The sequence below is a fragment of the Homo sapiens genome, chromosome 6 (genome assembly GCF_000001405.40).
Source record: "Homo sapiens chromosome 6, GRCh38.p14 Primary Assembly".
Classification (NCBI taxonomy): Eukaryota; Metazoa; Chordata; class Mammalia; order Primates; family Hominidae; genus Homo; species Homo sapiens.
This window is the reverse complement of record NC_000006.12, coordinates 123136404-123153322: the sequence shown is the minus strand read 5'-3', so window position 1 is coordinate 123153322 and position 16919 is coordinate 123136404.

Below are 16919 nucleotides of genomic sequence, written 5' to 3'. Positions count from 1 at the left end.
AAATAATCCTGAAATCAAATTTTGTAGGAAAATAATGCTCATTCTTTTACACTTGTTCTTACAGCTTCTCACTGGAGACTGTATTTGCTTATAATAAGGTACAATTCAAACATCTACTAGTTTCTCCATCCAAAGTTTTCCTTTGGGGAAAAAGACTGCTTAACATCTGCTATGACTGCATCTCTAAACTCTACTGGTTGGCATCTAATGTAAATATGGTGCCTTTTTTTTTTGAGACAGAGTCTGGCACTGTTGCCCAGGCTGGAGTGCAGTGGTGCAATCTCGGCTCACTGCAACCTCTGCCTCCCGGGTCAAGCGATTCTCTAGCCTCAGCATCCCAGGTAGCTGGGATTATAGGCACATGCCACCAGGCCCAGCTAATTTTTGTATTTTTTACCAGAGACGGGGTTTCGCCATGTTGACCAGGCTGGTCTCAAACTCCTGACCTCAGATGATCTGCCCACCTCGGCCTCCCAGAGTGCTGGAATTACAGGCGTGAGTCACTGCGCCCAGCCTATACATGGTATTGAAAAGGGGAAAACATCTATTCTGCTGTAAAAATCATTGCAAAATTAGAGGAATTTTATTTAGTTGTGATTCTAAAGTTTCTTACAATCTTTGAAGAAGGTACATTAAAAATGATGACTTTGGTAACATATTTTTTTGTACAACTAGTTAGCTTTTGTTCTGATTGATCTTAGAAATGCAAAAAGCATACCCTGATGATAAAGAAGACCAAAGCAATCATGAAATAAGACAGAGATTTCTCAAAAAAAACCTTCCCTAGAAACAGACAGTTTCCAGAATAAATCACACAATGCATTCCCCCATCCATACTCATGACACATTCACATTTATACAATAAAATCTAGTATATAAACTGCAAAGGAAGAGAAAAAGAAATGGTAAAAGAATCGATAAATGTGTGTAAAAACAAGGAAAACCAGTTTTTAGGGTAAAAGGGCACAGAAAATTATTGCAGTGTAAGAAATTCATATATTGTTATCACTAACAACTAAAGCCATTTCTTCCTTCCATGCTGCCTGGCTCAGGTAATAGAACCTACAGAAAATTACTTCAGCTTTCTCTGCTATGCAGATGTTTAAAAGAAATTCCTTCAGAACTTTGAATGTAATAGCATTCTTGGAAAATGGTTAAGCTTCTACGTTTGAGGATCTGAATATCTGGAATTGAATCATGACTGCCATGTACTAACTGTACGGCCATGGGTAAGATACTTAACATGCCTTCCTCATGTATAAAGTAGGGATAATGGTAGTTCTTCCATGAAGAATTTATGAGGATGAAATCTTACTTATTAGGTTTTCTTTTTGTTTGTTTTTTTAGATGTAGCCAGGCTGAAGTGCAGTGGCACGATCTCTGCTCACTGCAACCTCCACCTCCCGGGTTCAAGCAATTCTGCCTCAGCCTCCCGAGTACCTGGGATTAAAGGTGCACGCCACCACACGCAGCTAATTTTTGTATTTTAAGTAGAGATGGGGTTTCACCATGTTGGCCAGGATGGTCTCGATATCTTGACCTCATGATCCGCCCACCTCAGCCTCCCAAAGTGCTGGGATTACAGGCGTGAGCCACCATGCCTGGACTTATCTATTAGTTTTAATGTGATTGTTATTATTGCTGATAACACAAGAACAGGATATAAGATCAAAAATAAAGATTTTTATTTTCAGTACTGTTTTACAAATTACATTGAGTAAAACTAGGTAGTTTACATTCTACATAAAGATTGTGAGTCTTCCAATTTTTGAGAAGAAAAAAGAAAAATCAGTTCTAAAATATATTAGTAACCATCAATCAGTGCTTTTTGATTGAGAAAAATTCCAGGGCTTGTTACACAGTAAACAATTAGTAAATGGTCTTTGAACAATGAGAGAATAGCTCCAAGTTTTACTCAAGGCACTTGTTTCTGACTCATTCTTTGTTGTGGCACATAAATTCCTTTGAGATAAGAAAACCAGCTCTCATCATCTTCAATTTACAGGTGTAAAAGCAAGTTTCAGAAAATGCCATAATACATTTTCAAGTTCCCAAAGATTGTATTTGTTGGAGCTACAATATAAATTGGTTTTAATTTTATAACAAAGCCAATCTTTGACTAGGCACCACTGTCTTCCTCCATACAGAATAATCCAGTGGTCATTAGTAATTTCTAATTTATTTGTTGCAGAAATTAGTAAACACACACACTCACACACACACTAGTTTTGTCATTAATTTCTTCACAAACTACAAAAATATAAAGGTGTTTGACACAATTTTGTAAAATTGTAAATGAGATAAAAATGCTAGCTTTCAAAGGCTAGCTAATAATAAAGGCTAGCTTTCAGTTTGTACATTTAGATACTGGTCTAGAACCCAACATTCAATTCACACATGTGTTAGAGCTATGAGAAAAGTAGAAATATATTGTATCACAGATAACAATTTTAAATATATTAATATCATTGTTATTTTATTATCTTATATTTCATATATATCATCTCATTAGATCAGGTGAGCTAGGGAAATTATTAGCATTGTATAGATGACCACACTGAGGATCAAACTACGTTTGTCACTTGCCTAAGGACAAAAATCTGGTAAGGCAAGAAAACTGAGTTTGAACCCGTGTCTTCCAGGGCTGAGTCCTCTGCTTGTGGATATATCAAAGTGATTTTGCTGCAAAGAGAAGCTTGCTCTTTGTTGCCTATCTGATCTAGTCATGTCACAGTAGAGACTAACTCAATTATTTTGTCTCCAAGGTGGTCTGCTGTCACCTCTGTTAAAAAGCCTTCATATTAAAAGCATGGACTCCCCAATTTAACACATCCTTCCCACAGCAAGCTTAGTCACCTTTTCCAGAGGAATTTCCTTTTCTAAACACTGTTGTTTTCTCTTCTATTCTTGCAACAATTGATCAAAGACTAAGCACTCTCTTTAAATAAATGTATTTAATGCTCTTGGCATATTCCTCAGTCCCCATGATAGTGCCAAGTAGTGAGATTTATGGTGACATTTAGCAGGTTCTGTTTGCATAAAGGTCCATTCAAAATTGCATCTGAGCTGCAAATAGCTCAGCAGAGAATGACCAAGCAGAGAAGGCTCTAAAAATGACCAGTGAGTGTAAATGACTCCCAGGCTTCTAGAAAATCTATTGAGGAAGGTTATTTTCTAAAATTGCCCAAGCAACCTAAACCTCCAGAAATAAAACTAAGAATTAATCCACATAAGAGTTCTCAACTATAGAATCAGAGAAAATAATAACCATATAAGTATGTTTTGTCATAATAGCAATACAAAATAAATATGACTAGATATGACTTAGAGATGACCAAATATGACTTAGATTGTTTTTTCCTCAGGGTGTTTAGGCCATTGTTATTAAAATGCAGCCATTAAGAACTACAGAGTGATGGTACATAGTGAATACAAGGTACTTGCTGGCTTTAGATCCCGAATCTGTGTTGTTAGCCGTAGGACAATGGGCAAGTAACTTGATTACTATAGATGTAATTTTCCTCAAGGGTAAGTTACCATTATCACTTCCCTTATCTTGATGTAATGAGGACTATAGAAACTAATACAAATGAATCAATCAAGGCAGGGACTGGTACCTATTCTATAAATACATTATATAATATAAATATCACAACATATCTCAGAAAATATATACTAATAACAAAAATGTCATTATATTCATATATTTATTTTATAGAAGTGTTTCAAAATATTTTTATAAACTTTCAAAGGTCTTTACCATCAAAATACAAATGTCCATATCTACTAATATCAGTTACAATTTTTTTGAATACTCCTCAATTTAATCTGAACTTAGTTTTATTTGGTATAGCTTAAATAACTTAGGCTATTTTTTTAAAAGTTAGGGTTACAATAAAAATGGAGTTTTTAATCTCTACTTTTCATTTTCCTTTTGCTTTCCATTGGCAACAAAGATAATAACAGTTTAAAATCCTTTACTCTGACTTCTGCTCTCAAGCTATATCAAGAATTCATTCTGGAATTTGATCAGAATCTTTCAAATAATATGAAGCCTTTCCTAATCCTCTCAGGAACATTAATTTTCTTTCCCCTTAATCCTCATAACTCTTTATGCATTTAGCTTTCAACATACGCCAACAAAATTTGTTTAAATATGCCCCTTTCCCGTGGACTGTGTATGTTAAAGGCATAAAAATATGTTTTATTCAGTTTGTATCTGTGGACCTGAGTGCAATGCTTAACACAATGCATGGAACTTTTCTCAAGTTCCATTTGGATAAACTAATCCAACCAATGAATAAGTGATTGACTGAACACCATTCTTCTGGACATGATGTAGATACACATGTTGAAAGATTGCTTAAGTATGCGAAAGCACAACTGCATTCAAAGTGTTGATTAATAGAGTGATGTCAACCTGAATGAAGGATGTAGTGTGTGTAACAATCTCTCTATTTGATTCTGTTCTTTCAATATTTCTTAACTCTGAACTTGATGAATTAAGAATGGGTTGCCTTTAAAGCAAAGGCTGATTACAACACAAAGCTGGGACATAATCAAACATGGTACCAAAATATATATCAAAAGTATTACATTAAAAAGAGCAAATAATAAAACTATGTGACCTAGTAAGCCAATTACATACATATATGAGTATTAAAACATGGAAAGATGTACAAACAGGCAATGAGAGTTTTATCACTGTGATCTGAGGAGAAAAGTATTTTAATATTTTACTATATCTGTATATCACACATATTTTCTACTGCACAAGTATTATGTATGTAATCAGAAATACACTTTTAAAAAAATAAGCAATGGTAAATAAAGTATCTCACTAAGATGAAATAATGAATTAAAACAAGTGAGATTAATATTATTGAAAATAAAGACAAACCCCTGCATTTATGTGCATTATGGGATTTTTGGCTTAGAAAAGCATATAAAAAAGATTTGGATACAAGCGTAGTGTGAGTCAATGGTGGCTGTAACAACAGTGCTAAAAGAGTGCCCGAAGCTGCAGGCATATCTCCAGAAGCATAACATTCAGTGGAGGAAAACTACAAGGGCTGCTGATCTTTCCTCTTTACGCTACCTGGAGAGGAATTACTGGTTTCAGTTCCAGTATATTTTGAAAGGGATATTAACAAACTGGAATGCATCCAGTTAGGTTACAGAAAGACTGAGTGGTCTAGAAACCAAGACTGAGTGGGAAAGACAGGGGAAGAAGAAGAGACATAACAAGAATGACCTCATGTTAGCATAATGTTTGTTTCCAAATATCTAAGTATGTCATCATGCTAATGAGAACCTAGAAATAATAAGTGGATTTAATAATACTGTGATTCTCTTTGTTTTGGCCTAGCACACCTGAGTAATATGACACACTGCCATCAGTAATTGAGACCTGCTGTAGAGATTATCACCTGGAGGATTAATTTAGGATCTCCAATTTGGGGAGTGATTGAGGTAGGGCTAAGTATTTACAGAGTTTGAAAACTACAACTAGATTATATATTGACACACTGCCATGGCGATTACAATGGTGGTGGAATTTCCATCTCCACTTCACTCATTAAAATTATCTCTTTTAACTGCTTAACCTGTACCAAAAAATCTGTTAAACAGTTTTTTTTTTAAATTATTATTTCCCCATACGAAAAATACAAAAATTAGCTGGGCGTAGTGGTGCATGCTTGTAGTCCCAGCTACTCGGGAGGCTGAGTCAGGAGAATCACTTGAACCCAGGAGGCAGAGGTTGCAGTGAGCCGAGATTGCACCATTGCACTCCAGCCTGGGTGGCAGAACCAGACTCCATCTCAAAATAATAATAATAATAATAATAATAATAATAATTTCAATAGTTTTGGGGGAACAGGTAGTGTGTTCGGGTACATGGATAAGGTCTTCAGTGGTGATTTCTGAGATTTCACTCGAGCAGTGTACACTGCACCCAATGTGTAGTCTTTTATCCCTCACCTCCCTCCCAACCTTCCCCCCAAGGCCCCAGAGTATATTATATCATTCTTATGCCTTTGTATCCACTTGGTTGATGGTCATTTAGGCTGGTTCTATATCTTTGCAATTGTGAATTGTGCTGCTTTAAACATGTATGTATAAGTGTCTTTTTCATATAATGACTTCTTTTCTTCTGGGTAGATACCCAGTAGGGGGATTGCTGGATCAAATGGTAATTTTCTTTTTAGTTTTTTAAAGAATATCTATACTGTTTTCACAGTGGTCGTACTAGTAGTTACATTCCCACCAGCAGTGTAGAAGTGTTCCCTTTCACTGCATCCATTCCAACATCTATTATTTTTTGATTTTTTTGATTATGGCCATCCTTGCAGGAGTAAGGTGGTATCGCATTATGGTTTTGATTTGCATTTCACTGATTAGTGATGTTGAGCATTTTTTCATATGTTTGTTGGCCACTTATGTCTCTTCTGAGAATTGATGGGATTATTTGGTTTTTCTCTTGCTGATTTGTTGGATTTCCTTGTAGATTCCGGATATTAGTCCTTTGTTGTATGCATACTTTATGAAGATTTTCTCTCATTCTTTGGGTTTTCTGTTTATTCTGCTGATTATTTCTTCTGCTGTGCAGAAGCTTTTTAGTTTAATTAAGTCCCATCTATTTATGATTGGTTTTGTTGCATTTGCTTTTGAGTTCTTGGTCAAGAAGTTTTTGCCTAAGCCAATGTCTGGAAGGGTTTTTCCAATGGTATCTTCTAGAATTTTTATGGTTTCAGGTCTTAGATTTAATTCTGATCCATCTTGAGTTGATATTTGTATAAGGCGAGAGATAAGGATCCAGTTTCATTCTTCTACATGTGGCTTGCCAAGTATCCCAGCACCAATTTGTTGAATAGGGTGTCCTTTTCTCCACTTTATGTTTTTGTTGGCTTTGTCAAAGATCAGTTGGCTGTAAGTATTTGGGTTTATTTTTGGGTTCTCTAGTCTGTTCCATTGGTCTACATGCCTGTACACCAGTATCAGGCTGTTAGGTAACTATATCCTTGCCTGGTAATGTGATGCCTCCAGATTTGGTCTTTTTTTCTTAGTCTTGCTTTGGCTATGTTGGCTCTTTTTTGGTTTCATATGAATTTTAGGATTGCTTTTTCTTGTTCTGTGAAGAATGATGATGGTATTTTGATGGGAATTAGATTAAATTTATAGATTGCTTTTGGCAGTGTGGTCATTTTCACAATATTGATTCTACCCATCCATGAGCATGGGATGTATTTCCATTTGTTTGTGTCTTCTATGATTGCTTTCAGCAGTGTTTTGTAGTTTTCCTGTAGAGCTCTGTCACCTCCTTGGTTAGGTATATTGCTGAGTTTTATTTATTTATTTATTTGTTTTGCAGGTGTTGTAGAAGAGGTTGAGTTCTTGATTTGATTCTCAGCTTGGTCTCTGTTGGTGTGTAGCAGTGCTACTGATTAGTGTACATTGATTTTTGTATCCTGAAATTTTACTGAATTCATTTATCAGATCTGGGAAATTTTTGGATGTGTCTTTACGGTTTTGTATGTACACAATCATATCATCAGTGAACAGTGAGTTTGACTTCCTCTTTACTGATTTGGATGCCCTTTATTTTTTCTGTCTGATTGCTCTGGCTAGGATTTCCAGTACTGTGTTGAAAAGACGTGGTGTCAGGGGGCATTCCTGTTTCATTCCAGTTCTCAGGGAGAATGCTTTCAACTTTTTCCCATTCAATATAATGTTGGCTGTGGGTTTATCATAGATGACTTTTATTATCTTAAGATTTTTTCCTTCTATGTCAATTTCGTGGAAGATTTTAATCATACAGGGATGCTGCATTTTGTCAAGTGCTTTTTATACATCTACTGAGATGATCATGTGATTTTTGCTTTAAATTCTGTTTATGTGGTGTATCATATTTATTGGCTTGCACATGTTTAACCAACCCTGCATCCCTGGTATGCAACCCACTTGATCATGGTGTATTGTCTTTGGATATGCTATTGGATCCATTAGCTAGTATTTTCTTGAGGATTTTTGCATCTATGTTCGTCAGTGATATTGGTCTGTAATTGTCTGTTTTGGGTATTAGGGTAATACTGACTTCATAGAATGATTTAGGGAGGATTCCCTCTTTATCTTGTGGAATGGTTTCAGTAGGATTGGTAACAATTTTTCTTTGAATGTCTGATGGAATTTAGCTGTGAATCCATCTGGTCCTGGAGTTTTTCTTGTTAGCAATTTTTGTTATTGCTGTTTTAATCTTGCTACTTGTTATTGGACCGTTCAGAGTTTTTATTTTTTCCTGGTTTAATCTAGGAGGGTTATATATTTCCAGGAATTTTTCCATCTCCCCTAGGTTTTCTAGTTTGTGTGCATAAAGGTGTTTATAGTAGCCTTGAATGATCTTTTGTATTTCTGTGGTATCAGTAGTAATATCTTCTGCTTTGTTTCTAATTGAGGTTATTTAGATCTTATCTCTTCTTTTCTTGGTTAATTTAACTAATGGTCTATTGATTGTGTCTTTCTTTTCAAATAACCAGCTTTTTGTTTTATCTTTGTTTTCTTTCAATTTCATTTAGTTATGCTCTGATCTTTGTTATTTCTTTTCTTCTGCTGGGTTTGGTTTGGTTTGTTCTTGTTTCTCTAGTTCCTTGAGGTGTAGTCTTGATTGTCCATTTGTGCTCTTTCAGACTTTTCGATGTAGGAATTTAATGCTGTAAACTTTCCTCTTATCATTGCTTTTGCTGTATCCCAGAGGTTTTGATAGATTATGCCACTATTATCATTCAGTTCAAATAATTTTTAAATTTCCATCTTGATTTAACTGTTGACCCAAAGATCATTCTGGAGCAGATTATTTAATTTCCATGTATTTGTATAGTTTTGAGTATTCCTTTTGGAGTTAATTTCCAATTTTATTCCACTATACTCTGAAAGAGTACAAAAAATAATTTTGATTTTCTTAAATTTATTGAGACTTGTTTTTGTGGCCTATCATATGGTCTGTCTTGGAGAATGTTCCATGTGCTGATGAATAGAATGTATATTGTGCAGTTGTTGAGTAAAATTTTCTGTAAATATCTGTTAAGTCCATTTGTTCTAGGGTATAATTAAAGTCCATTGTTTCTTTGTTGACTTTTTGTCTTGATGACCTGGCAAGTGCTGTCAGTGGAGTACCGAAAACCCCCCTATTATCGTTTTGCTATCTCATTTCTTAGGCCTAGTAGTAATTGTTTTATAAATTTGGGAGCTTCAGTATTAGGTGCATATATATTTAAGATTGTAATATTTTCCTGTTGGACTGATCCTTTTATCACTATATAATGTCCCTCTTTGTCTTTTTTTTAACAGTTGTTGCTTTAAAGTCTGTTTTGTCTGATATACGAATAGCTATTCCTGCTCACTTTGATATTCATTTGCATGGAATGTCTTTTTCCACCCCTTTACCTTAAGTTTATGTGAGTCAATATGTGTTAGGTGAGTCTCTTGAAGACAGCAGATACTTGGTTGGTAAATTTTTACTTACTATGCCATTCTGTATATTTTAAGCAGAGCATTTGGGCCACTTACATTGAATGTTAGTATTAAGATGTGAATACTGTTCTATTCATTGTGCTATTTGTTGCCTGAATGCCTTGCTTCTTTTTTCATTTTGTTACTGTTTTATAGGTCCTTGAGATTTATGCTTTAAGGAGGTTCTATTTTCATGTAGTTCAAGGTTTTGTTTCAGGATTTAGAACTCCTTTTAGCATTTCTTATAGTGCTGGCTTTGTGGTAGCAAATTCTGTCAGCATTTGTTTGTCTGAAAAAGACTTTATCTCTCTTTCATTTAGGAAGCTTAGTTTCACTCGATACAAAATTCTTGGCTGATAATTATTTTGTTTAAGGAGGCTAAAGATAGGACCCCAATCCCTTTTGGCTTGCAGGGTTTCTGCTGAGAAGTCTGCTATTAATCTGATAGGTTTTCCTTTTTAGGTTACCTTATGCTTTTGCTTCACAGCTCTTAAGATTATTTCCTTCATCTTGACTTTAGATAATCTGATGACTATATGCCTTATCTTTTTAGGATAAGTTTCCAGATGATGCTTGAGCTTCTTGTATTTGGATGTCAGATATCGATCAAGAAAAGGGAAATTTTTCTCAATTATTCCCTCAAATAAGCTTTTCAAAATTTTTAGATTTCTCTTCTTCCTCAGGAACACCAATTATTCTTATGTTTGGTCATCTAACATAATCCCAAATTTTGTAGAGGCCTTGTTTACGTTTAAAATTTTTTTCTTTGTCTTTGTTGGATTGGGTTAATTCAAAAGCCTTGTCTTTGAGCTGTGAAGTTCTTTCTTCTACTTGTTTGATTCTATTGTTGAAACTTTCCAGTGTGTTTTGCATTTCTCTAAGTGTGTCTTTCATTTCCAGAATTTGTGATTGTCTTTTCTTTATGCTATCTATTTCTCTAGAGACTTTTTCATCCACATTTTTATAGTCTTTTAAATTTCTTTAAGTTTGTTTTCACCTTCCTCTGGTGCCTCCTTTAGTAGTTTAATAATTAATCTTCTGAATTATTTTTCTGGCAATTCAGAGATTTCTTCTTTTTTGGATCCATTGCTGGAGAGCTAGTGTGATCTTTTGGGGGTGTTATAGGGCCTTGTTTTGTCATATTACCAGAATTACTTTTTCTGGTTCCTTCTCATTTGTGTAGACTGTTTCAGTGGAAAGATCTGGAACTAAAGGGCTACTGTTCAGATTGTTTTGTCCCATGGGGTGATCCCTTGATGTAGTGCCCTCCCCCTTCCTCTAAAGTTGGTGCTTCCTGAGAATCAGATGCAGTGATTGTTATTGCTCTCCTGGGTCTAGCCACCTAGCATGGCTACCAGGTTCCAGGCTGGCTGGGGAATGTCTGCAAAGGGTCCTGTGATATAATCCATATTCAGGTCTCCCAGTCATGAATACCAGCACCTGCTTTGGTGAATGTGGCAGAGGAGTGAAGTGGACTCTGTGGGAGTCCTTGATTGTAGTTTTGTTTAGTGCACAGGTTTTCTTGGATGCTGGTTATGTTAACAGTGAAGTTGTCACATGGATGGACTCAGGACCTCTGGTAAGCCAGGGTGCTGCAAGCAGTGGAATTAGCCATTATTTTCTCTTTTTTGGAGGAGGGTTGTTCTGTTATGAGTTGCTGTAATGACTGGAGTTTGTTAGCCTTCAGTGAGGAGGTGGTGCTTTCAAGACAGTGCCAGCTACAATAGTATTATAAAGGGGGGGTGATATAATCTTGCCCTCTGTTGACTGGGATGAGTACTCGGCTTTCTCAGGCAATGGACGGAGCCATAGAGCTCCCAAGAGCTTTTGTCTTTTGCTTTGGAGTTTTTCAGCTGTCTCATGGTGTTTGCAGCAACAAGCCACTTCTTTCAAAGGGCCTGTGATTTCTTTTGGTTCTCCTGGTATGTTCCTGTGGTGGTTATTGGAGCAAAAGTTCACACTGTGAGTCTCCAGACACGGTTCTATCCATCCAAGCAGGAGCTGCACATTAGTCACTTCTCCTAGCCACCATTTTTCCTCTGCTAAATAGTTTATATACACGACCTTATTCAGTTCTGATAAGACCCTAAAATGTAGGTATTGTTTGACTCACCTTAAAGATGATGGCACTGAAGCTTCGAACAGAGATTCAGTATCATACAGTCAATAAATTCCAGAATTAGAATGAAAACTTGGATCTGTCTGAATAGAAACTTGTATTTATAAACCTTACACTATGGGTGTAATTTGGCTGAGTGTCATAGATTTCTTAACCTCAAATCAGGCATAAATTAGATAAAGATTCTTTAAAGTAATTGCAGGAAGAATTCAAAATAAAGGATTATTTAAAGTAATTGTAGGAAGAATTCAACATAAAATAAATACATGTTGTACCATGTCACTCCAAGTGAGAAACAGATTAATACTATTTCAGTTAGGATGTCTTTAACTGGAAGTAATGGAACATCTGCCTAAAAAAATGTTTTTACAAATAACAACATCTACTTTTTTGATTTCTCATATAAAATCATTTAGGATTTGTCTTTCTGTGTCTGGCTTATTTCACTTAGCATAATATCCTCTAGATTTATCCACATTGTTGCAAATGACAAAACATCCATCTTTTTAAAGGCCGAATAGTATTCCATTATAGAGAGTAAGATGGTAGTTACCGGAGGCTGGGAGTAGGGTAGACGGGGAAAGGGGAGATGTTAGTCAAAGTGTACAAAGCTTCAGTTAGACAGAAGTAAAAAGTTCTTTTTTTAACTTTTTGAAAATAGTTAACAATAATGTGGCCAGGCATGGTAGCTCATGCCTGTAATTCCAGCACTTTGGGAGGCCAAGGTGGGTGGATCATGAGGTCAGGAGATCGAGACCATCCTGGCTAACACGGTGAAATTCCGTCTCTTCTAAAAAATACAAAAAATTAGCCAGGCGTGGTGGCGTGCATCTGTAGTCCCAGCTACTCAGGAGGCTGAGGCAGGAGAATCACTCGAACCCAGGAGGCAGAGGTTGCAGTGAGCTGAGATCATGCCACTGCACTGCAGCTTGGGCGCCACAGAGTGAGACTCTGTCTCAAAAAAAAAAGAGCAAATTTTGCACCAATTGACCATTTTGTTAATAATCATGATTATAAATTCAAGTAAAGATGACTAAAATAATCAAGATAGGCCCTTAAATTTTTAGTGCTCCCAGAATATGAAATAACTTACTTGGGTGGGAAGACTTTAGAATGTCCATCTGTGGGGATCTGCTACACTAGGAACAGTTATACCAGTCTGTAAATAAATAATTATACTTTAAGTATGCTCAGGGATTCTGCCAGAAAGTAAGAGAGAGGCTATGTAACCTCACAAAGTCCCTTAGTATGAAATCTGATGTTTTACCATAAGTATAATGATGAGTTTCTTTTGCTTCTTACAAAAAACTGACCACCAACTGATGAATCAAGCAGTTCATCTCCAGGTTTCCTTAATTAAGGTTGAACTCATAATTCAAGGGCAAGTCTAGGACAAGGTCTCACATGCAAGTCATTAGACACTAAGAAAGGCTATTGGTGCAGTGGGTAATGGGTCACCAGTCAAAACATTAATGACATCTACTACCCTGGTCTTATGAGACAGTACAAAATCTATAAATGTACATTAATTAATCTATTCAGTCAACAAGTATTTATGGGGCATAAAGCAAATGCTATGAAAATCATGAGAGAAAAATAAGACATGATCCCTGCTTTTGAAGTACCTATAAACCACATTTGCTCATGAAAAATAATCAACAAATTTTGACTTGAACTGGAAAGGTCAATAAATATGCATAGAATAAATAAATGTAATAATTAAAATAACAAATGTTATGGTGGCTTCGTGACTAGAGAAAGATACAAGTTGAAACGTAAGGAGATAAGTTTATGATTTTCATCGTGGAGGTTATATAGAGCTAAGAAATTCAAATGAGAAAGAAAGAAATTCTAAGCATAGGAGTTAGCATGAGTAAAATATAGAGCAAGGTTTAGGAGCAGTATGTTTGAGTGGAAACTGGAAGTGTCTATTTTTGTGAGGTTTAAATGATTTGTGCTTGGAAATAGTGGGAAATTAATCTGAAAGCAAAATTATAGCAAAATTCAGATTGCAAAGGGCCTTGATTTCAGGAATTATTCATAAGCAATGGGTACTAAGATAAATTTTTGAGTGGAGTAGTGTTGTTTTAAAAGGATTAAACAATCGTAGGCAAATATGAGTAAGTATTTGAACTATTTACAGTTTACTAGTATGAAATATATTAGATTTTTACATACTTCTAAGGAATATGATAAGAAGATTAGCTTTTTTTGAATCTTTAAAAGTAGGGAGAGAGGCCAGGAACAGTGGCTCACACCTGTAATCCCAGCACTTTGGGAGGCTGAGGCAGGTGAATCTCTTGAGGTCAGGAATTCCAGACCAGCCTGGCCAACATGATGAAACCATGTCTCTACTAAAAATACAAAATATTAGCTGCAGATAGTGGTGCATGCTTGTAATTCCAGATAATTGGGATGCTGAGGCAGGAGAATCTTTGAACTTGGGAGGCAGAGCTTGTAATGAGCCAAGATCGCACCATTGCACTCCAGCCTGGGTCACAAGAGCAAAACTCCATCTAAAAAAAAAAAAAAAGTAGGGAGAGAAAATATAAACAACATACATTGTTAAAAATAAAATGTGACTAGTATAAAAATCAGGGGACCATTAGGATAAATGCAGTCAATGTAGATGAACACCTAACCTCAGTACCTCTCCTATAACGCTTTCTAAACTGAAACCCCATTTACATTTAGTGAATGCTCATTGTTGTACAAGGTTTTTCTGTGTACTTTTCTTTCTTTGACACCCTCAAGCCAATCCAAAAGCAAATCCTGGAGAAACTGCTATATATCTTTCTAGGTTTAATGTTTACAAAAGATATTTTAAATGAGGATTTAAAAATGTAAAACTGAATACTCTTTCCTTTTAGATCATCCCCTAATGCAAGCCTAGTATGCATTTTACATTCAGAATTTCAATACAATGTTTTCTATCAACACAATTTGCTACCGTGTTTGTGAAAGATTGGGTCAGCATCCCTGAACTTTGTTATAAATTAGAAAAGAATCTAAAACAGTAATTTGGGTGTTATTACATGAATGAACTGTGCAATTTTAACATTATTCCTCCTATTAGCAGACAATTAACACTCTATCTAATTGCACTGTTCAATCAGGATGGCACTGGGATGGAATGGCAATGGAATGAAAGTGTAGATATAGAGAACTGCACTTTCTTTTAAAGACTTGCGCAGTACTTCTGCAATTACAACTATTTGATAATAATCTTATGTCATAAGAGACTGCTTACTCAAAAGTCAAAAGAGATTCGTTTCTGGTTAACAATGTGTATTAGTCCAGTCTCACACTGCTAACAAAGACATATCCAAGACTGGGTAATTTATAAAGGAAAAGTGTTTAATTGACTCACAGTTCAGCATGACTGGGAAGTCCTCAGGAATCTTACGATCATGGCAGGATGTGAATGAGAAGCAAGGTACCTTCTTCACAAGGTGGCAAGAATGCAGGGCACCAAGTCCCAAGTTTGCACACAGCAGAAGGGCCCTGGACCCAGCCCAGGAAACCATTTTTCCCTCTTAGGCCTCTGGGCCTGTGATGGGAGGGGCTGACCTGAAGACATTTTTCCCATTGACTTGGTGATTAACATTCAGCTCCTCATTGCTTAAGCAAGTTTCTGCAGCAGGCTTCCATTTCTCCCCATAAAATGGGTTTTTCTTTTCTATCACATTGTCAGGCTGCAAATTTTCTAAACTTTTATGCTTTGCTTCCTCTTGAATGCTTTGCTGCTTAGAAATTTCTCTGCCAGATACCCTAAATCATCTCCCTCAAGTTCAAATTTCCACAAATCTCTAGGGCAGGGGCAAAATGCCACCAGTCTCTTTGCATAGCAAGAGAGACCTTTACTCCAGTTCCCAACAAGTTCCTCATCTCCATCTGTATTAGTCAGGGTTCTCTAGAGGGACAGAACTAATAGGATAGATGTATATACAAAGTGGAGTTTATTAAGGAATATTGACTCACACAATCACAAGATGAGGTCCCACAATAGTCCGTCTGCAAGCTGAGGAGCAAGGAAGCCAGTCTGAGTCCCCAAATCTCAAAATCAGGGAAGCCAACAGTGTAGTCTTCAATCTGTGGTTGAAGGTCCAAGAGTCCAAAAGCTGAAGAACTTGGTGTCCGATGTTTGAGGGCAGAGAGCATCCAGCATGCGAAAAATATGTAGTCCCAAAGACTAAGCCAGGCTACTCTTTCCATGTTCCTCTGTCTGCTTTTATCCTAGCCATGCTGGCAGCTGATTAGATGGTGCCCACCCAGATTGAGGGTGGATGTGCATCTCCCAGTTCACTGACTCAAATGTTAATCTCCTTTGGCAACACCCTCACAGACACACTCAGGAACAATACTTTGCATCCTTCAATCCAATCAAGTTGACATACAATATTAACCATCACACCATCTGAGATCACCTCAGCCTGGACTTTATTGTTATATATCATATATCACTGTCAGTATTTTGGTAAAAGCAATTCAACAAGTCTCTAGGAAGTTTCAAACTTTCCCACATTTAATCTTTTTCTGAGCCCTCCAAACAGTTCCAACCTCTGCCTGTTACCCAGTTCCTAAGTTGCTTCCACATTTTTTGGGTATCTTTACAGCAGCAACCCACTCTCTCCTGGTACCAATTTACTATATGAGTCCATTCTCATGCTGCTAATAAAGACATACCCAAGACAGGGTAATTTATAAGAGATTTAATTGACTCACAGTTCTGCAGGGCTGGAGAGGCCTCAGGAAACTTACAATCATGGTGGAGGGGGAAGCAAACACGTCCTTCCTCACTTGGTGGCAGCAAGGGGAAGTGCCAAGCAAAATGGGAAAATCCCCTTATAAAACCATCAGATCTTGCAAGAACTCACTATCATGAGAACATCATGGAGGTAACCGCCCCCATGATTCAATTACCTCCCACTGGGTCCCTCCCATGACACACGGGGATTGTAGGAACTACAATTCAATATGAGATTTGGGTGGGGATAGAGCCAAACTATATCACAATGCAATTGAGTTTAACAAAAAGGTTACTGAAGACCAATGATACACTTGTACTGGATTAGGAACTGTGTACACTAAAATAAAACAACACCTGACTTCAAGTATCATGCAACATAATACTTTTTGTCAAGTTACCGAAATGCAATGTGTGTTACTCAGGGCTAAGTAGTAATGCCAGTGATACTGGCATTTATAGAAATTGTATTTCATCTCTCTAGAAAGTCAGGAAAGGCCTCCATGAGAAAATGACATTTAAACTGAGGTTGAAAACAATTAGTCT